Source organism: Homo sapiens, chromosome 12, assembly GCF_000001405.40.
Source record: "Homo sapiens chromosome 12, GRCh38.p14 Primary Assembly".
Classification (NCBI taxonomy): Eukaryota; Metazoa; Chordata; class Mammalia; order Primates; family Hominidae; genus Homo; species Homo sapiens.
This window is the reverse complement of record NC_000012.12, coordinates 51,832,152-51,852,729: the sequence shown is the minus strand read 5'-3', so window position 1 is coordinate 51,852,729 and position 20,578 is coordinate 51,832,152. Positions and strand designations below refer to the sequence as shown.

At 56.6% G+C, this 20,578-nt stretch overlaps 1 protein-coding gene and 1 long non-coding RNA gene across 5 annotated transcripts in view, besides 5 other annotated features; one reads left to right on the top strand and one right to left on the bottom strand.

Annotated features, from left to right (window-relative positions):
* Positions 1–4,507, bottom strand: FIGNL2-DT (FIGNL2 divergent transcript). The gene is made up of 3 exons (NR_135803.1): positions 4,167–4,507; positions 2,420–2,469; positions 1–36 (listed from the first exon to the last, which is right to left on the bottom strand). It is a non-coding gene; the product is annotated as an FIGNL2 divergent transcript (long non-coding RNA).
* Positions 3,788–4,779: an enhancer, noted in NCBI's record as "H3K27ac-H3K4me1 hESC enhancer chr12:52241735-52242726 (GRCh37/hg19 assembly coordinates)". NCBI's record gives its function as "activates a minimal SCP1, AML or CMV promoter by ChIP-STARR-seq in naive H9 embryonic stem cells {active_cell/tissue: H9 hESC(naive)}" and the evidence as "EXISTENCE:reporter gene assay evidence [ECO:0000049][PMID:30033119]".
* The window catches only part of FIGNL2 (fidgetin like 2), a 30,820-nt gene continuing 14,253 nt past the window's right edge, over positions 4,012–20,578 (top strand). Inside the window, exons 1-2 of one of the 4 annotated variants that reach the window (NM_001384996.1) lie at positions 4,012–4,190; positions 12,435–12,608. Coding sequence is in view for 2 of the 4 variants with exons in the window: in XM_017019298.2 (XP_016874787.1) it covers positions 12,278–12,608 (331 nt within the window). In the remaining 2 variants the exon portion in view is untranslated. Of the gene's footprint in view, positions 4,191–5,149; positions 5,385–12,205; positions 12,609–20,578 lie in introns of those variants that run through there. The other 3 variants (XM_017019299.2, NM_001384995.1, XM_017019298.2) reach the window with 3 other exon arrangements.
* Positions 4,978–5,686: an enhancer, noted in NCBI's record as "H3K27ac hESC enhancer chr12:52240828-52241536 (GRCh37/hg19 assembly coordinates)". NCBI's record gives its function as "activates a minimal SCP1, AML or CMV promoter by ChIP-STARR-seq in primed H9 embryonic stem cells {active_cell/tissue: H9 hESC(primed)}" and the evidence as "EXISTENCE:reporter gene assay evidence [ECO:0000049][PMID:30033119]".
* Positions 6,397–7,105: an enhancer, noted in NCBI's record as "H3K4me1 hESC enhancer chr12:52239409-52240117 (GRCh37/hg19 assembly coordinates)". NCBI's record gives its function as "activates a minimal SCP1, AML or CMV promoter by ChIP-STARR-seq in naive H9 embryonic stem cells {active_cell/tissue: H9 hESC(naive)}" and the evidence as "EXISTENCE:reporter gene assay evidence [ECO:0000049][PMID:30033119]".
* Positions 7,106–7,816: an enhancer, noted in NCBI's record as "H3K4me1 hESC enhancer chr12:52238698-52239408 (GRCh37/hg19 assembly coordinates)". NCBI's record gives its function as "activates a minimal SCP1, AML or CMV promoter by ChIP-STARR-seq in naive and primed H9 embryonic stem cells {active_cell/tissue: H9 hESC(naive and primed)}" and the evidence as "EXISTENCE:reporter gene assay evidence [ECO:0000049][PMID:30033119]".
* Positions 15,699–16,650: an enhancer, noted in NCBI's record as "H3K27ac-H3K4me1 hESC enhancer chr12:52229864-52230815 (GRCh37/hg19 assembly coordinates)". NCBI's record gives its function as "activates a minimal SCP1, AML or CMV promoter by ChIP-STARR-seq in naive H9 embryonic stem cells {active_cell/tissue: H9 hESC(naive)}" and the evidence as "EXISTENCE:reporter gene assay evidence [ECO:0000049][PMID:30033119]".

The window sequence follows — 20,578 nt, the reverse complement described above, 5'->3', positions numbered from 1 at the left end:
CTTTGGACAGGATGGAGTGGGCTCAACCCCTGGAACCTAGGGGAAAAAAAAGATTGGAAGTGCTCTGCTAGGATGCGGGACAGATAGGGAAGACTTTACAGAGAAGGGCATACCTGAGTTGGGTTCTGAAGGATGAATAGGAGCTCATCAGGCAGAGTAGGGAAATGAGATTCCAGGCAGAAAGATTCTGAGGTATTAAAAAGGTATGCATGTTTAGTGGGAGTTTCTGTGTGACTGTAAGGTACATGGTGGGATCAATTTGGGGTGCTGGCTGAAGAGCTATGCTGCAGGATGGTGCAGGATGTGCTTCTGCTCAAAGAACAAACAGCAGGGCCATGTGTGGGGTAACGATTTTGGAAGCGAGGTATCAGCGTCCCCAAGTGTTGGGCCCCAAGGAGTTAGCGGAGACTGATAGCCACCCAGCTCCTCCTCCCAAGTCTGAGCTGCATAGAGGGAGGAACATGTTTTCTAGTTTGCCTACAGGCTTTCGAGGGCTCCTAGGCTGGATGTGGGGTGGGGATAGGATCCAGACTAGACACAGCTTGTAGCACAGTGGGAAGGCAAAGCTGGTATACGTTCATGAAGAGTAAGAGTTTTTGGGGTGGTTTGATCAGGGTTGGGGAGGCACTGGGAACTGGGCCTTGATGGGCAAAGAGCAAGAATGAGAAGGGCTAGAGTTTCCATTTGTGGGGACAGCAGCCTGAGTCCCGGGCAAGTGTGGTTGGGGGGAAGCCCAGCTGGGTGTGGTGCCCTCTGGGCACGCACCCCAATCCCCAAGCCAGGACACATTTCCTTCCTTTCCTGCTCATAATGACTCCTGAGTGGCCAGTCCAGAGGACCACAAAGAGGCCTCCCCGCCCTTTCCTCTTCCTCTCTTCCATTTCTTTCTCCCTTCCTCCCCCCACCCCATCCTTCCCCCAACCCGGGGCCCTTTTCTTTCCTTCCTCCTCACCCTACTTGCTCCTCCCGCCCTCTCTCTCTAGCTTTTACTTCCTCCCTCTAACTCTCCCCCCTCCCTCCAAAATCCTTTGAGCTGATTCTCCCTAGACCCACGGAGTTATTTTTCTTCTTAATGTTTTTAGAAAGCCCTTGTTGCAGGTCTCTGGACCAGGAAGGTCACACACTCCCACACTTCTGCTGCACACCCACATGCATGCGCCCGCAGCAGGTGCCTGCACTCAGCCACACAACCAAGCATAGCACCTGTCTCCCCTGGGGGCAGGATGGGGGTGGGATTCTCCACCTTGGGTGTGATACTAGCAAAAGATCTGGGAAAGAATGGAGGGCCCTCTGCAGAAGCCACACATTACCACCATCATTACCACTATTATTATCCAATCCATTGCCAGGCACTTGACCTGCCTGGGGATGATCACAGCCACCTCAGCAGGGGCTCTCAGGGCACAGATCCCTTGACTGGGGACAGCCAGGAGTGAGGTCACCCCAGAGTCCTCAGAGATCAGTCTCTCGGGCCCTGCCCAAGAGGGCAGGAGGTAGAGATGTGATGAACAGAGTATTTGTCAGCCCAGGAGGCTGGATGATGTATTAACAGGACTTTAATGAGCTCTGGGAGGGGGAGCCACACTTCATCGCCCTGAGCACTGGTGCAGGGTGGGAGGTGGAGGGGTGAAATGATCAACCTCACCCCCACCTGCTAACTAAACCTCTTAATATCACCCACAGCAGTCCGCCCATTGGAAACAACTCAGTACTGCCAAGCTGCTGGTCTTGCCCCTGGAGTCCAGCGAAGGCCTTATCCAGCAGGCTGGTGTCTTCCACTATCTCACTAGCAAGGCCTTCCTTAGCTTTAAGCTTGTCCTTCCTTTACTCCCGGACTCCTAGAGGATGAAGGAGAACCGGATCCCCGCTCCAGGGGAGCGCATGATCAATTCCTTCCTTCACACTGAGCGCCTCAGTCCAACCCCACTCCTGTCATCCCCCCTTCCCTGGAGCATGGTGGAGCAGGATCCCCATTGGCAATGCCAGACTTGGCTTCCTGGCACTAATCCTGCTGGCTGAGGCACCCAGCTCATAAGGATATTAGTCTTTCCCTTAGTTCCTGTCTCTGGCTGTCAGGGAACCTGACAGGTAGGGGTGGAAAAAGTGCAGTGGATTCTAGATCCAGCTTTGCTGTGTGACCCCAAGTGTGTCACTTCTCCTCTCTGGGCCTCCAGTGCTCCAACAATAAGGAAATAGCCAAGGAGTTCCTTCCAGCTGGTATCCTGGGATTGTTCCTCCAGCAAGGGTTCCAGTCTCCTAGCATGGTGGTTGTGGCTCCCTTCATCCTGCCTGATTCTGAAGCCAGGGGCTACTCTAGCACTCTGAGCCTTGACACGTCCCTCCTCCTGTGCCAGGGCAGAGCCCTGGGGGTGGGGAGTGGCAAGGAAGAGATAATTCTGGAGGTGGAAAAGACACTGACCTTGGCAAGTTCCAGAACCTGCGTGGGTGCCGGTTGCTTCCAAATGTGGGCTGGAAAAGAAGTGGGAGCTACTGAGGCCCTCCCCTTCTGTTTCCCTGAGTGGCACCTAAAGGAGTGCCCCAGACCTGTCAGACCCCAGAGCCTGCAGGGGAATCTGCATTAGAAGAAGGGAGGGGGTAGTGTTTGGAGTTCTACAGGCTAGTGGGTGAGGGCCAATCTTGCCCTACTGACACTCAGGCTAGGCAGCCACTCAAAAGGGAAACAAGCTCTCAGGAGAGAGGACCCTTAAGCACTGCCCTTGGGTGGAAACAGGATTGCCTTGGGACATCTGGAGGCTCAACAGCAGGAAGGTTCTCTGGACCCTCCATCATCAGCACAGCCCTCCTCCTACCTTCTCCTGGGGCAAAGCCGGTTCCTGGCCTTTATCCCTGATGAAGCCTTGAGTGTGTGTGTGTCGGGCAGAATTCTGTCTACCCTTCGACTGGGAGCTCCAGGAAGACAGGGCTGTGCCTCTTGGACTCTCTTGGGTATCCCTGGTGCACAGTCCAATGTTTGGCACAAAGTTAACACTCAGTATGTATCTATTGAACGGATGTCTTTGGACACTCTCAGTGGACTAGAGGTCTGGGATTCATCCCTCATCTTTTCTTCCTGCCAGTCATCCTGCTTGGCCCAGTGTGACTGCCGCCTTCTGGGCAAGCCCTCCAGTGGAGCCCTCTGTTTAGATCTCACACCCTACACTCCGCTGCCCCCGTCCAGTGCTCGCCCTCCTCCCCCGCAGCCACCCGCTCCCGGAGTGGCATCAGCGCAGAGCCGCGGCCTTGCCTGGCGGTGCGTCCTGCCCTCTGCAGCCCGGGAGGGCAGGCGCAGCAGAGTCCCGCGCGCAGTGGGTTCTCAGCTCACCTGGGGGCGGAGGAAGTGAGCAAGAGTCCTCCAGACTGGGGCCAGGGGGCCAAGGCAGTCCTGGGAAAGGGGGTCTGGGGCGGCCCGCGGACGGGGCGGGCCCAGGCCGGCTGCCTTCCCCTTTGCCCTTCGACCCAGGAAGCCGCCCACATCCAGCGGACACGCTCGACGGGCTGGGCTGCTCAGTCCCGGCCTCGGCCCCGTCCCCATGCCGTCCCCCACCCCTACCCGCCGGCCCGACCCCCACCCCAACCCCAGCTTCCCGCTCCGACGGCCGGGAGAGGCGGGGCGGACGGGTCTGAGAGTGGCGAAGGACACTCTCCACACCGAGGGTCACTTGCTCTTTTTTCCCCTCTGTGGCTAATTTATTTTAGAGCCAGGGGCGGGAGGGGGCGGGGCCAGCCGGGAGGGTGGCAAGGAGGGGCTGGGCGAGCCCAGGGGAGGTGGGGGCGGGGCGGGGGCGAGGTGGGGGAGGGCGGGGAAGAAGCCGGGGGTGGAGGGGCCAGAGAAGGGGCGGGAGCTGGGGGAAGAGAGGGGCACTAGGAGAGGGAGGAGCAGGGAAAGGGGAGGGGAGGGAGGGCCTGCGAGGGAGGGCCCTGGGGGCGGGCGAGGGGAGGCGGGGGTGGGGGTGGGGGTCTTTCCTGCGGGGGGAGCCGGGGCCGCCCCTTGTCCGGCCACCCCCACTGCCCAGTCCCGCTCCCGCCCGCGGCGGCCGCAGCAGCCGCAGCAGCAGCGGCTCCAGGATGGTGAGCGCCACTGCCCCCCAGCCCAGGCCTGTCGCCCCCGGCCCGCGCCGCCGCCCCGGTCCCCGGGCCGGACGCGCCCCCAGGCCGCGCACACTCACCTAGGACCCGGCCGTGATGCCGAGGTACGGGGCCGCGGGCGGGCCGGGATGGGGCGGGGGGAGGTGACCGTTCGGTCAGGGTGTCCGGAGCTTTGTCCGCCGGCCCGGGGCCGGAGAGGGCCGAGAGGGCGGGGGCTGCTAGTCGCGGGGTTCAGCTCGGCGGGGGTCGGAGGGCAGGGCCGGCGAGAGACCCTAGCGGGTACGTGGGAGCCGAGGGTCACTTCTCGGGGGGAGGGGGCGGGCAGAGCAGGGGATAGCCGCCCGGCCGCCGACGGGCACCCGTCTCGCAGCCCCCTCTGGTGCGGGGGCTGCAGCGAAAGCGAGCAGCCGGCTCGGGGGCGTCTGCTGGCCTGGGGGTGGGGAGCCAAGGTTTGCGGGTTCGGGTCCCAGAAGGATCCAGCGTCCGGAGCCCGAGGGCCGGCCCGCAGGCCCCTCCCACTCCGTCAGGTCTTTGTCCAGCGGCCCCTGTGTGTGTGTGTGGGAGGGGTGGGGGCTGGGTTACTGGCCCGGAGATTCCCCAGCATGGTGACGGGGCAGTGACAGGAGGCCGAGGCTACTTAGGGTCCCCGCGCCCCTAACACCCACCCTCTTCATGTCTTCTCCTCTGGCCCGGGAGAACAGAGCCCGCGTCTCAGAGTCAGGGGGTTGTAGGAGGCTGTACTCACCTTCACCCTGGGGCTACAGGCAACAAGGGGGACCCCCGGAGCGCCCAGCTCTCCAGAGAGGGCCCCTCAAACTTCCCCACCGCAAGAGCCCTCTCCTGTTCTACACAGAGATTCGCATGCTAGCAACCCCCCCGCCGCTGCAGAGGGTCCTTCGCAGATTGCTGAGCACCCTGTAGGTGATCAGCAAATGCTGGTGCCCTTCCCCAGCCCCGCTGGTCCCCCTGCCCCCGCCAGAGGAGGAGGCCTGGGAAGGGGTCTGCGCGGGGCAGAGAGCGCGCGGCCTGGACCCTGCGCCCAGCGGCGGCCCGGAGCGCAGGGGTGGGTGGACGGGTGGGTGGGCTGTTAAAGGGACGGTCACTAAATCAGGATTAGGCCGTAGGGCTGTCAGGCTGCCGGCCCTGTCTCCATGGATACCTAATTTGGAGGAGAATAGAGGACTGAAGAATGTTTGTGTTGTCCGCACGGGCTGTGGCGGCGGAGCGGTCTCCTGCTTTCCGCCCGGCAGCGAGGAGTGGGGACCCGGTTCCAGCCCAACTCTGGGCTTACGGCGCAGGTGGGCTTCCCGGTTCCTGGGCCGTGGGGCCTCCCCTGTGGAGCCGCCCAGTCTCTGGAGTGGGCTGGGCCCGCAGATGCCACGGTGCGAAACCCTCTGACCCTGCAGAGGGAGTCCCAGACCCTCCCGGAGCCTACCCCGAAATCCCATAGCATCCTCCTAAAGCCTCCCCGAGCCTCTCAGTCCGGAACCGACGCCATTCCCCGCTGTGCCTGAGCCCCCAAGGACGGGCGCGCCGGGCTGCCCGGTGCTGTGGTGCCGCCGCCACCCAGCTGTGGGACGCGGGTACCGGGCGGCCGCGCGAGCTGCGGGCAGGGGGCGGGGCGGGACTTCCTGGGGTGGGCGAGGAAAGGGGCGGGGCTTGCTGGGGTGGCTGGGCTGGACGGGTGACAGGCCTCGTAAATCCCCTTTCCCATGTTTAACACCATTTCATTTCTTTCCACTTGATTCCATTGGCATCCAAGGCAGACGGGAGCGACCCTCGTGTCCTCGCTGTAATATCTTCTGGGCGAAGCCCTTTTGGGCCAAAGGGAATTAGGCTGTGTGGGGCAGAGGAGTTGCTCCTGGGGAGGCCTAGAGGACCCGCATTCCTCGGGGGGATTCCTGTTGCCCCCACCCCCGCCCCAGAAGAAGAAACAGAAGGGGCTGAGAGACACAGAAATGAGTTTGGCTTCGGAGGCCCTGCCCGATTCTCTGGCCGTGGTATGGCTGAGGGCTGGGCTGAGGATCCCGTAACTGTCAATTCCAGTACCAGCCTGGGCGAAGGCTGGGGAGAGCCACCCAGACTGAGTGTGGCGTCGCAGAGCCCTTTCCTGCCTTTCTTCTGCTCACCCATGGCCACAGCTTTTTATGGATCAGGACTCCCCTCCCTGCCCTGCCTGGGCCGCAGCTTTATTGCTGAGATCTAGGGCTCTCTCCACGCAATTTCACGCCTCTCTGCCTTTGCTCCCGCTGTTCCTCCAGCCAAATGCCTTCCTCATTGTCCCTGTCTTTCCACAACCTCCTTATTCTTCAGGGCCCAACTCGGATGCGCACCTCCTCCGCATCACCTCCCCAGCCCCGAGCTTCTGTCACTTGCTCCTCCCTCCGTGGCCTGCACCTGTGCTCCCTTCCGCCTTTGTGGCGGGGTCCACTCAGGGCTTTGACTGAAATGGAGCATGTACTCCCTGGCCCTGCCCCCAGTGGGCTTGCCACAGGGCTTGACACCTTGTGGGTGCTCCATAAATATTGGTTGGCTGAATAAAAGGGGTTTTGTAAGGGCCTTTAGCCAGGCAGTCTGCATAGCATGGAATCTGGCCACCTTCAGGTAAACAGCTCTGTGCTCTTGGGTGGTGGAGACCCCTGGGTGGGGCTCCTCCTCTCCCTTTCCCTTATTTGCCTCCTTCTCCTCCCCATGACCCTACCCCACCCCCCCAAGTCCGGGGAGGACTTTGCCCCTTCCCTTCCCCACAGACCAGCATTCTTTCCCTGCCATTATCATTCTGTTAAACAGAGAGGCCAGTCAGGATCCATATGGATCACATTAACAATTGCTTATTATCTGGGCCAGGACTCCCCCGACTCTCCCCCCAAGCTCCGACTGCTGCCATTGCTGGACCCTTAGGAGCCCTGCCTTCCCCTCCCCCTGCCGTCGGTCAGCCAGGGAGGGCAAGAGACAGGCTGGTCTCCCTCACCTTCCCTGTGCCTTCTAGCAGAACTTTGCCTCTCCTGGACTTGGCGGTTATCGACTCCTTTACCCGATTTAATGAAAACCAGGTTCCTGGAAGGAGCATGGCTCTGCAAAGCTCCAGGGCTGCAGCAGGGAGATGTGGACTCCAGGCCCCAGTGCCCCTGTGCTCTGCAGCCCTGAGACCCCCTTCAGGGGACAGAGACTGTGGGGGGGGGGCGGTGAGCCACAAGAGGTCAAGTATGGGGTGCTGGCATCTGCTACCTTAGCCTTGGGCTGGTCCTGCCCCCTTTTGGGAGCTGGCTGTCTGGTGAGGGAGATCAGGGCAGAGGGACCCTGCCAGGCTCTGTGGTGTTGGGCTCCCAGCCTTTCCCTGCAGTCAAAGAAGCAAGAAATCTGTTAGAGCTTCCCAGAGCAGCCACTGAATTGGCCTTGAAGGATGGGGAGTGTACTTCACGTTTAAACCCATATATAACCCAGGAATACTAGGGCATGGAAGGAGCCTCCAAGATTACCCATTCTGGGTATCCATAACTTTTTTTGATTTACAGAGCCCTTGGAGACACTGATGAAAGCCATCCCCAGAAAAATGCACTTCCGTTAATTGACACCAGACTTTGCATTCTGCTTTAGAGGATTCTTGGATCCCCTGAAGCCCATGGGGACCTTATGTCAAGAAACCCTCACCCCAGTCCATCCCTCTCTGATGTGCTGAGGACAGAGTCATGCCTGCAGCCTGGGTTTCCTGACCTCCCCACTCAGTGCTCACTCCATGGCCATATTACTTGCAGTAGGACCGCCAGAACCAAGCGACCAGGGGTATGAGATTGAGGCACTAGGCCAGCCTTTAAGTGGGAAGAGTTCACACTGGCTGGGTCAGGGTCTGGGCTGGTCATCTCATCTCTGACTATGTGGCTTGGAGAGAGGCTGTCCAGCTTTTTTTTTAGGGTCCACTTGTCTCCAGGAACAAGTGGCAATTGCTCTTCTCCGAGCAGTTTCATAAGCATCTTGATGAATCATAGTTAACGCTTCCACACACTTGTTAAACACTCTGTATCTCATCTGTGAGGTGAGAAAATAGAGTGAAGAATGGTGTCCACCTCCTAAGCAGGATATTGTGAGGATGAAAGGAGTCAGAGCTGGGAGACCTGAGTCCTAGTCTTGAATGACTCTAGGTGCAGGTGCTCAGGGCTGTGGTTACTGTTGAGGCCAGCATTTCCCCAGTTTGCTTAGCCAAGGAAAGGGGACTGCAGTGCGAACCCCCTGAGTGCCTTCTGTCTTTTCCTTTAGTACCGAGGTATGGACAGTGTCAGCCTTTGGAATATTCATCTTCAGGGTTGGAGGCAGAGTGGGGGTTCTTAGTGAGTGGGAGAGCTGGGCAGTGGCCATGGCCTGCCTCTGTAGCCCCAACCCCATTTTTGATGACCAGTTATGACCCCTACCCTAGAGACCAAGCTTTGTGCTTCAGCAACCCCTTGCTGCTAATCAGATGTAACTCCGGACAAGTGACTTCATCTGTTTGGGTTTCAATTTCATCATTTCTAAAATGGGGATAAGAACCTCATATGATGGTGATGTGGCCCTGGTTTCAAATAGTCTGCCCCTTTGATTCTGAAGCCTACCTTGGGGACCCGCTTAGTGACTCGGGGCCCAGGGACTCCAGAGAACGACCTTCTAGCATAGGAGTGAGGATGGGGAAAGGGCATGTGTGTGTGAAAGTTCTGGCCCACAGCAGTGCTTGCCCAAGTCATCTTAAAAAAAAAAAATTGTAGAGGCGGTGGTCTCACTATGTTGCCCAGGCTGATCTTGAACTCCTGGCTTCAAGTGATCCTCCCATCTTGCCCTCCCAAAGTACTGAGATTACAGGTGTGAGCCATTGCAACCAGCCTGCCAGGCCATATTTGAAGCCCCCTCCGACATGGAGTCAGGGCAGACAGGGGGTGGGCAGGTAGATGGGAGGAGAGGCAGCATGGATGCCTGCAGGAATCTGGAAGGTAGCAGCATACCTCCCTCTGTCCCCTCTCACTGCCAGGGCAGACTCAGGCCACATGGTCCCCAGCCCAGTGTTGTGATTAATCAGGGATGGATGTGAAGATGTGACAAACAAGCTGCATTGACTCTTTTTTTTTTTTTTTGAGATTGTCTCTTCTGTCACCCAGGCTGCAGTGCAGTGGCATGATCTTTGCTCACTGCAACCACCACCTCCTGGGTTCAAGCAATTCTCATGCCTCAGCCTCCTGAGTAGCTGGGACTACAGGTGCATGCCACCACGCCCAGCTAATTTTTTTTTTTTTTTTGTATTTTTAGTAGAGACGGGGTTTTGCCATGTTGGCCAAGCTGGTCTCAAACTCCTAACCTCAAGTGATCTGCCCATCTCAGCCTCCCAAAGTGTTGGGATTACAGACGTGAGCCGTGAGACTTCATTTACTATTAACAAACCTGTGTTGAGCACCTACGCACTGTGTCCAGTACTGTGCAAGGCTCTGGGTGAACCTCAGCTGCTCCCGCGGGTGTCCAGCCAGGATTGGCCTTCCTGAGCCTCCCCACACATGCAGTGGACACCTATGGACCAGGCTCTGAGCTGGGGCTTTTATGCTTTGGCTTCCTTAGCCACCTGCAGCCTCCCACATGGCCAGGGAGAGCCCAAGGGTGGCCCCAGCTTTGGTGTTGCTTTGCCACAAGTGCCTAGCATGTATCATGGCTGTGAGGCCTTGAATATTTTATCCAGGTAGCTATTCATCCAGCAACCATTATTTTCTGATGTGGTGCCACCTTCAAGGAGCTCACAAGATGTTGGGGACCAGCGAAGAGGCAAAAGGACAGGCTATGCTTTTAGGACCACTGTCCCTGCATTCTCTAAGCAGAAGGAAGCCACATAGGGCATGTGAGCTGGGGAATGGCAGCCTCTGGGCTATGGCGAGGGTACAGGACAGGTTTCAGAGGCTGTAAGGGGGAGGATCAGCATCTGACAGCAGGGGCTTGCCTCAGAGGAGTCCTGAGCAGATTGCCTTTTCCTGGGGGAGGCTGTGTCGGTGGGCATTAGAAGCAAAGTGAGACAAGGGCCACTGCTTGGGGAGGGTCCACCTGCAGCCGAGTGCCCTATTTGACCCTTGGATGCTTAAGAATCTGGAGGTGTTTGTTCTTTCCAGGCCAGTGGGGAAAGAAAACTGGTAGGATTTAGGTTATACCTGAAAAAGGATCCCTCTTCCCCAGCCCTCATATCATGCGGCTCCCTCCCCACCCAGCCTGTCTGTTGCCTTCTGCTGGAGCAAAGGGGCTCCCTGGGAACTCTCTGGACACCAGGAGAAACTGCACCTTCCTCCTTGCTCTCTGGAGGGACAGCATTTCATCAGTGGCTGGGTCCTCACTCCTCTAGGAAGGGGCTTCCTTTCCAGGCACACTGTGTCCGGCATGGGCTGGCCATTCTTTTACCATCGTCTTCCACACTGTGGCCCTCCTCAGGCCTGAGTTTTGGGGACTGAGCCCCTTGTTGAGAAAAAAGGAGCTGCGTAAAATGAGGAAGGCAGCTGGGAGGCTGAGGTAGGAGGAGGTCAGGAGTCCATTCTGGGACTTGTTGAGTTTGTAGTGATCATTAGATATCAGAGAAGAAGAGAGGAGGGGAGAGGAGGGGAGAGCCCTTCCACCTGCCCAGCAGTGCCCCTCCCGGGAAAGGCATTCTCTGGTGCCGAGTGCCTCCACTGATGGGGACTCAGCACTTCTAGAGATGGCTCACGTGTTCTCAGATGGGGCCAAGTCCTTCTGTGAAGCCAAAAATCTTTCATGGAGGATTTGCTTCTTTTGAGGAAAAGGGGAGGAGGGGCTGTGCAGAGCTGCAGGGGCCGCCACGGTCGTGCAGAGATCTGGTCTTCAGGAGCCTTTCTCCTCCCCACTCCTCTGGCACAGTCTCAGCCTTGCAGTCCTTTCTGATCACTCTCTGCAGAGTCTGGCTGAGACCCTAACCAGAGTCCTGTGTCCTAGCCTTGAGGCCAGCGCCTCTCAGACCTGGGCAGGGATTTATCTGGTCCCATGAGAACAAGTTTGAGATATGCTAAGCTCCGGGGTTGGTGGCTAAGTGTGGGAGGGGGTTCAAGAAAGGAGGGCTGGGGGAGCAGGGGAGGTTGAGGAAGAGGGTGGGAATGAACTGCTCCCTCAGTTTTCTCAGCTGTTCGATGGGAACACCACCACCTGCTGTGGCAGGCAGAGAAGTATCTGGAGCAAGACTGCTGGGGGTGGCATCTGTCCCAGCTTGGTGACTTAGACAAGTTAATCGAGCCTCAGTTTCCTCACCTGCAACATGGGAATAACGTCCTCACTCAGATTAAATGAACTGATGTGTGTGAAGCACTCAGGGCCGGACTTGGCTTGTGTTGAGAATCCCATATGGGAGCAGGCAGACAGGAGCTGCTGTGGTTGCTCAGTCTTTTCCTAGCACCCTCCCCCCAGTATCTTTTTCCCTCTGTGTTCCTGTGGCCCTGCAGGTGTAGGGGGCCACCCCCTTGAGGACAGCCCTGCCCACTCACACCCAGGTGGACCGGCCGGGCTGCATAGCTGGAGTTACTCGGCTCAGCCCCCCCAGGGCTGGGAAGAGGGCAGGAGGGGCTGAGGCAGCTGCTGGGGACTCCTGGGTGGGCTGCCTGGGCCTGTTTCCTCGCCTTTGGTAAGGCCTGGCCCTGTGGGGGCATGTCTCTCTCCCACCCCCATGCACGGGAAGGGGCCATATTTGGGGCTAGGGCACACAGGATCACCCAGACTTTAAAGCTTAAGCCTTTTGGAGGCCACATGCCACCCAAACAGACTCAAGTCAACCTTGGATCCTAAAACTGGCTACGGGGAGGGGAAGTGTGGGGCCCTCCAAGAGACTCTAGGCTCTTGGGCTGAGCCTTGTGGTCCATGACCCTGAGGAGTTCCTGCAGATAACTGTATTCCAATGTTTTTGTTTTTGTTTGAGATGGAGTTTTGCTCTGTTGCCCAGGCTGGAGTACAATGGTGTGATCTCGGCTCACCACAACCTCTGCCTCCTGGGTTCAAGCAATTCTCTTGCCTCAGCCTCCCAAGTAGCTGGGATTACAGGCATGTGCCACCACACCCAGCTAATTTTGTATTTTTAGTAGAGACAGGGTTTCGCCATGTTGGTCAGGGTGGTCTTGAACTCCCGACCTCAGGTGATCAGCCTGCCTCAGCCTCCCAAAGTGTTGGGATTACAGGCGTGAACCACCGTGCCTGGCCAATGTTATTAATTCCCTTTGTAGCCCCATGTATTTTTCTTTTATGCATTGAGGAAGTATTTTTGAGAACAGGTCATAGGTTTTCCAGACTGCGAAAGGGGCCTAAGGCTGAAAGTGGTGAAGAGCTCTGGCCTCATCCTCCATCTCTCGCCCATGCAGGGCCAAGTCCCAGGCAAAGAGGAGCCCCAGATGCAGACCCAAGAGGAGACAGGCACTGGAAGGACCTCACCAGCCCCAGATCACAGGGCCACCCCAAGTGGACAGAGGACAGTCCATGGCGGCCTCCACTGAGCACCTGCGCCCTCCCCGCAGTGCCCATCACTGAGTGCACAGGTGTGAGGCTGCGTTGTGTGCTAGAAACAGAGCCTCAGGGAGGGGAACTGACTTCAGACAGGGCAAAGCGCAGAGTCAACTGCAAATCCCTGTTCCTCAATGAAAAAGCAAGTCATCTTTTTAAAAAGTAATTGCTGACAAAAAGTCATGACTATCATTAAAAAGTCCAGGTCATCCTCGTTCCCAGTGGCCCTGCTCTTTCTACCACTGTGTGTCAGGGAATGTTTTCTGAGGGAGGGGACTTTGGGAAGGAGCAGGTCAGGGTAGAGAGAGAGCTGCAGAAAGGGCTAGAGAGCCACTTGTACCAGGGCTCACAGACAGGGGCTGGCTGAGCAGCGGAGGGAATGGGAACCCAGTTAACAAGTGATGTCACCTCTAAATTGGGCATTGGAGTGGAAGGGCAGAAGTGCCTGGAACATGCTTCGGGGCACCAAAGAGGGAGACAGGAACAGCCTCAGAGAGAATGGGCTGATGTGACTGGAGGAGCTGGAAAGGGCCCGAAGCTGGAAGGAAGGACAGACTCATCCACCTCTGGTGCCAGGCTGAAGGGTTAACATCGTCTCTGTGCTTGGTAGGAGGCTGAGTCTGTTTTAGACAGAAAGACCACCCTAGCAGCCACACAGAAGAAGGATTAGGAAGGCAGAGAACAGAGGCAGAATTCAGAGGTGGGGCCAGCTGTGGTGGGGAACATGAGAGCTGTGGGTTGTTTTAGAGAGAGTGTTAACCTGACTTCATGGCCAGCTAGATGAGTGGAGGCTGGAGAGACAGACACAGGGACTCCTAGGTTTCCAGCCTAGCTGAAGAGATGGAATCGGGAGAGAGGAGGTGGAGATGTTTTCCTTGGGCATGTTGAGTCTGAGGTCTCTGTGGACCCTCCCAGAGGGTCCTAAGATTCTCACCTAGATTCCTACCTCTCCTCTTAAGATTCCCGGGGACAGTGAAGAATGTGGCTCAAGACCAAGTTACGTCTGGGCACAGTGGGCTGTCAGGAGGGACTTGAAGCAGGAGTATGAGACTTGCCTGGCAGTTTCTAAGTGGCAGAGGGTGGGCTGGGGGGGTCATGGGAGGGCCCTGGTGCTCCTCCCTCTATTAGCAGAGGAGAGGCTGGTGACAGATGTCCCAGGACACAGGTCAGAGCAGCCAGGGGTCAGGCGAGGACATCCTGGGAAGCTGTGGTTTGGGACTGTATTTTCAGTGACGGTCAGCTGGTCAGGGCAGGACAGGGAACTCATTCCTGCAAGGCAGAGCTCTTCTGGGGCCCCGCAGGCAGCTCCAGGATTATGTTTTCTCTTTGGAGTCCTCTGTCAAATGAGTTGGGTCCTTCTGGGCCTGGAGAGCAGCCCCCCCACCTCTTTCCCAGGCCACTGCACCTAGCCAGTCTCTAGGAGCGAGTTGGAGCCTGCCCTGGGTCCTGCATGGGTGGCCCCTCTAGCTAGTCAGGAAAGTTCCACCTCTCCTTCACTGCCCTCAGGCCAGCCTGTGAGGGGGATGCTGCCTCTCCACCCCCCATTTCACAATGGAGGAAACAGATCAAGACATTGTCCCACATCTCAGAGGCTGACTCTGAGGCCAGTGCTCACTCCCTGCAATACCTGAGTCATGGGAGGGGGAAGGGCTGGCTAGAGTGGGCTCAGAGACCCCTGCAAGCCGTGGGTCAGTCTTTCAGGTTGCCCTTCAGACACCTGCCTTACCCAGGTTACTAATGGGTACAGGCTCTATTGGGGTGGGGTACCTGGAGCAGCCAGTGAAGTGGAGAAAGGGGAGAAGGGAAGGAGTATGTCTCACCGTAGAACAGGCTCACACCACAATCCTCCCAGCAGCCTGCTGAGGGGACTGAATGAGACAATGGAGATCCAGCTCCCAGCCCAGTGTGCAGTGGCCTCTGGGAAGCACACAGACAGGGCAGCCCTTACTCCTTTCTTCCCCCAGGGCCCAGGAGCTGACATCCATCTCTGACCTGCTCCAACATAGCTCACATGTAGTGAGAAGTGGGGTGTGGTGTGGTGGGCAATTCCCAGCCCCAAAGACTCGCTTTCCCCGGCCTCCATGAACACTTCTAGTGGCCCATGCAGCTCACCTCGAGCAGGTGGGAAGGAGAAGGAGAATCAGCCTTGCTAATCCTCCTGGAGGTGTGACTGGCTGACAGCCTGGAGCCTCCCAGAAGTTCCATTTGGTTTAAAAGAGAATCCTTCTTAACCAGAATGGTGTTCTCTTGGTGAAATTGCAGGCAGCCTAACCAAGGGGAGCAAACAACACCTAGGCAAGAGGGAGACACGTTGTGTTTTCTTTGGTGGCAGGGACTAGGGTAATAACAAGGCTATTTCTCTCTACCTGCTTTCTCCCAGAAGATGGGCTGGGGACAGAGCACCAGCCTGGAGCCCCTTGTGTTCCTGGATATTGCCTAGCTTTGGGGTGAGACAAGACAGTGGAAGGAAGGTGGCCTGAGCATCCCAGGGCAGCTTTTGGTGGAGGGTCCAGAGAAAACGTGGAGGGGCTGTTGGGAAGAAGGGGGTGGGGAGGAGAGGAGAGCTGGAAAAGTGATTAGCAGCTCTGATGAGGTTGCAGTCGGGCCTGGCGGCCCCAGGGCAACACAAGAGAAAAAAGGAGCTGTTATTCACAGAGGGTGGACAAAGATGGCTGCCTGACTGAGGCAGCCCCCCAGCCCATCCCAAGGCAGCCAGGTCACAGGGGGTACCGGCAGGCCCCACGCCCTTGGCATGGATACCCCTCATGGGGATTGGGAATGGGACTGAGGCTGTAGGGAAAACATTGGGAGCCTGCGTCCTATGTCCAGTTCCCAGCTCCCCCGGACCTTCTTTGAGAGCAGGAGAGGCCCAGGAGCCACCCCCAACCTCCTGGGGTAGTAGATGGGCTGTTTGATCAGTGAGTGTGTAAATTGGGATTTTATGGATCGCTTATTCACGGCTGGAGCTGGGGCCCCCAAATTCCTCTGTGCCCCAGAATGCTTAATCTAGTCTTGAGCTTCCCCCTGAGAGGCAGACGGGAGGAGAGCTCCCCACAGGCCCCCACCCCTCCTGCTGTGTCCCCTCCCAAGGCCCCAGGCTTTGTCAGTTGCAGGTTGAGCGGTTCAAATGTGCTAATACACTCCCTGGGGGCCACCGGACAGTGGGACTTACTCCTCAGTGCTGTGATTGGCCAGAGAGACCACAGGAGGGGGGTTTCTGGCAGCAGCTGGGAGTGTGTGTGTCTGCGCACCCACCCACCGGCATGTGCGCCTGTGTGAGGGGAGGAGGGGGCTGGGGGTGTCCACCCTGCTCAGACCACTGGGCAGAGACAAAGGACCTTCATCTAGCCTGGGACGAGGATTAAGCCCACCAGCCATGTCCCTACCTGGTCAAGCTGGTTAGGAAGTCCACTGCCCACCTCTACATCCTCCTATTACACTGTGACATGGTGGGGGCTTATTCAATGTGTGTTGAATGGATGGATGGATGAGTGACCACAAGAGTGACTGCATTTCTAACTGGGGTGTGTCTGCTGGGATAATCCGGCACCAACAGATTCCTCCATCTCCCCTTAGGATTCTGAAGTATCCGCCCCCCACCAACAGAGACTCACTTTAGCCCAGGCCTGACCAGACATCAAGGCTGGACATGAGAGACTGGCCAGGCCTCGGGGGACACAGCTGTGACCCCCGGACTGTGTTACCACTTGAGAGTGCTTTCACTGTGGTCACGTTTCTCCCTCTCTGCTGGCCCCCATCTGTCCTTGGGATTGGATGAGGATGAGGATGGTGGGCGGGGTGGGGGAGGGGTGTTGAGCAGCTGATGGGGGAGGGCAGCGCAGCCCAAAGGCCAGATGACAGAGTGCCCTGTCCTACCTTCCTCTCCTCCTCCTCCGCCTGTCCCTCCTCTCCTGAGGCAGGGCAGACAGGCGGGGCTGGGGCGGAGGGAGTTGACTCAGCTAGCCCATCCTCCCTCCCCTGGTTCTAGGGAAAGCTCCAGTCCAGGGTAGCTGTAAAACTGCCTGGGAATCCTAGGAAAAGAAGCCTGCAGGGCACGGTGGCTCACTCCTGTAATCCCAGCGCTTTGGGAGGCTGAGGTGGGTGGATCACCTGAGGTCAGGAGTTCGAGACCAGCATGGCCAACATGGTGAAACCCTGTCTATACTAAAAATACAACAATTAGCCAGGTATGGTGGTGCACGCCTGTAATCCCAGCTACTCAGGAGGCTGAGGCAGGAGAATCAATCACTTGAACCCAGGAGGTGGAGGTTGCAGTAAACGGAGATCACGCCACTGCACTTCAGCCTGGGTGATAAGAATGAAACTCTGTCTATAAAAAAAAAAAAAAAAAGAAGTCTAGATCCGCAGGAAGTCTACCTAAAGACCTTAAGAAGCGAGACTCCATAGAAGTTCAAGATAGAGCAGCTCCGTCCGATAGAACTTTCTATGGTGATGGAAAGGTTCTGTGTCTGTGATGTCTACTACAGTGGCCACTTCCACATACGGTTGTTGAACATATGGAATGTGGCTAGTACCACTGAGGAAGTAAAATTTTTATTTTATTAAATTTTAATGTCTGCAAATTTAAATAGTTACATGGGGCTAGTGCCTGTCATTGGACAGTACAGGATTAGAGGCTGTGTTCAGGGCTGAAGCAAAGTCCTTGAGTGCAAGTGCCAATTCTGCCCCTTTTGGGCTGGTGGCCTTGGGCAGGACTCTTCCCGCCACACTATGTTCCTTCCCCAGGTTGCTGGGCTGCCTCGAAGGGGAATGCGGTGTGGGCCATCTGAAGTTAGAGAATCATCTGTTCCTTTGGGTGACTGGGCTTCCCTCAAGAGGTCCTGGATCACAGAGGAGATAAACATGCAAGGAGAGCATGGCAGTCACAGTGGGAAAGAAGTGGCTGCAGGGAGCTCTAGACTTTGAGGCATCTAAGGAACTTCCTTGGGGGTCAGTCCAAGAAGGCTTCCTGGAAGAGGGGGTGGTGGGGGAGGGTTGGGCAGGAGTTGAGCCAGGGGATGGGTGGGAGGCTGTGCCTGAGAGCCTGACCCTGGAGATCTGCTTATTTTGAGCTTGAAATGAGGACCCTGTGCTTTGAGGCACCTTGGAGAGCCTTACTGCCTCTAGGCTGGGGTAGGCAGGTGTTGACACATGGGCTGAGTCCCACTTCCCCTCTTACAGCTTGTATGACCTTGGGAGAATCTCTTTCCACACTTGAGTCTCCATTTCCTCTTCTATAAAATGGGGAGAATAATGCCCATCTGGCAGGGACATTGTGAGGACGAAAACGATGGATAACTATGAAGTTCTTTGCAAACACTAGAAGGCTGGGTGAAAGGGAAGGTTCATTCCTCAAGGGTGCTGGGCCCCTGGCCTGGCCTCTCAGAGCAACAACAGATGGTCACAGCTTGGCTGTGGCCCTGACCGCGGACACAGGCAGGGATATCTGTGCTGTCCCCTCCCGTCAGCGTGTGCACGCGTACACAGAGCCCAGATGGGGGCCGCTTGGCCAGCTTCTCCCAGGCCGACCTCCTGCTGTTTGGCATTTGACATATGAGAAGACCAGGGCCAGAGCACACCCCTCACCACATCTCCCACCCCAGAGAGGAGCCAGACTGGCGGGGCGGCCTCCGCACCTCCAGGAAGCAGGATCCTGAGGGCCCTGATCTCTTTACCATGTGTCCAGAGACCTTTGATGGGAATTCCAGCACCCCTTTTGTCCTCTCCCACAGAAGCCCAATGGGGTGGGGGGTAACAGAAGGAGAGAGATTTAAAGAGAAAGAGGCCCTGTGGAGTCTCTGGGGGGCTGAGATAGGTGCCTTTGGGGGCTGGACACTTTCCTCTGGTGTTCACAGACACAAATGCCCCTTCTGGACTCCCCTCCCCTATCCATTCCTGAGGTGAGCCCCTGGCTTCACCCCTTGCCACCCTCACCATCACATGTACACTCAAATTTAGTCACCCTGATTGCTTTCTTTATTTGGACACAGAGGCCATTTCAAGCCTCTAGGATCATCCATCCATCCATCCATCCATCCATCCATCCAACCATCCATCCACCCATCCGTCTGTCTGTCTATTCATCCATCTGTCCATCTGTCCATCTGTCCATTCATCCATCCATCCATCCATCCATCCGTCCATTTGTCTGTCCATTCATCCATCCATCCGTCCATTTGTCTGTCCATTCATCCATCCATCCGTCCGTCTGTCCATCCATCCTGTAGTCTATTGAGAACTTAATCTGTGCCGGGCACTGTCCTAGGTGCTTGGGATATAACAGTGAACAAAACAAAGTCCCTGCTCTCATGAACTTTCTAGTGGGTACACAGACAATAAAGCAACAAATAGGACTGTCCCCTTCAACCTGTTGTTCCATAATCTGATGGATGAGTGTTACAGGGAACATCAGGTTGAAGGGGACAGTGTCTGCCGAGGCAACGGCTAAGCAGAGACTTGATGCTAGGCAGGGTGCAAGCCCAGGGAAGGTGTGTTCCAGGCAGGGCAGAGGCAGGGGCACTGAGGTGGAAAGCAGCGTGGCGGGAGGAGCTGTGAGGAGGCCAGGGTGTGGAAGGGAGGGAGGAGGGGCAGTGGCAGCAGGTGAGGCCGAGAGGTAATGGAAGCCGACCATGAGGACCCTGTATGCCAATGAGAGGACTTTGGCTTTTATTCTGAGTGAGATGGGAGCCACTGGAAGCTTTTGGTGGAAGAATGACTTATGGAACATGCTTTCAAGAGTTACACTGGCAACTGTGTTAAGAAAAGAGAGGACGATGTAGAAAGGGGGAGGTGAGATGGAAGTGAGGCCAGGCACAGTGGCCCATGCCTGGAATCCCAGCCCTTTGGAGGCCAAGGAAGGAGGCTAGCTTGAGCCCAGGAGCTCAAGACCAGCCTGGACAACACAGTGAGACCCCCATCTCTACAAAAAAATTTTAAAAATTAGCTGGGTGTGGTGGCCCACCACACCTATGGTCCCAACTACTTGGGAGGCTGAGGTAGGAGGACTGCTTGAGCCTGGGAGGTCCAGGCTGCAGTGAGCCGTGATCACGCCGCTGCACTCCAGTCTGGTCAGCAAAGTGAGACCCTGTCTCAAAAAACAAAACAAAAAAAAGAGAGAGAGGCTGCAGCTGTCGTCCAGGTGATAGCATCCCTGAGGTGGTGAGAAGTGATTGAAGAATCTAATTTGCTGTTCTGAAGAGTGAAAGAGAAGTTAAGGATGACCGCAAGGTTTCTGGCTTGAGCAACTAGAAAGGATGCAGCTGCCATTTCCTGCAGTGGGGAAGGCTGAGGGAGGGCTAGGTTGCGGATGTGGGAGCCCGGAGTTTCACTTTTGGGCATGTTAATTATGCCAATTAAATATTCCAGTGGGGATGTCAGCAAGAAGGTTGAATAAAGTGCGGAGTGCAGGGGAGAAATCTCAGCTGGAGAACTATGTTTGGGAAACATCAATACACAGGTGATGGTCAAAGCTAGGAGATGGGATGGGATCATGCACGGAATTACCATGGAGAGGGAAAAGAAGGCTGCAGGACTGAGCCCGAGGTCTGCAGGGTTTAGAAGGGAGTGGGTGATGGGAGGGCAGCAAAGAGGCTGTGGAGGGGACGGCAGCAGGGGCCAGGAGAGCGCAGGTCCCTGGTTTTGCAAGAGGAGGGCAGAGCATCAGATTCAGCTGTGTGGTTATGAGGCAAAGGTAGTGGAGTGTTGGGGGTAAATGCCTGCTTGGAAGGGGTTCAAGAGGAATGGAAGGACAGGAATAAGAAACAGTAGCATAGAAAAGGTAAAAACAAGCAAAGAGAGAGAGATAGAATGTAGCTGAAGGGGGATTCAGAAATTATTTTGGGGCCGGGCACAGTGGCACACGCCTGTAATCACAGCACTTTGGGAGGCTAAGGCAGGTGGACCACCTAAGGTCAGGAGTTCAAGACCAGCCTGGCCAACATAGAGAAACCCTGTCTCTACTAAAAATGCCAAAATTAGCTGGGCGTGGTGGTGGGCACTTGTAATC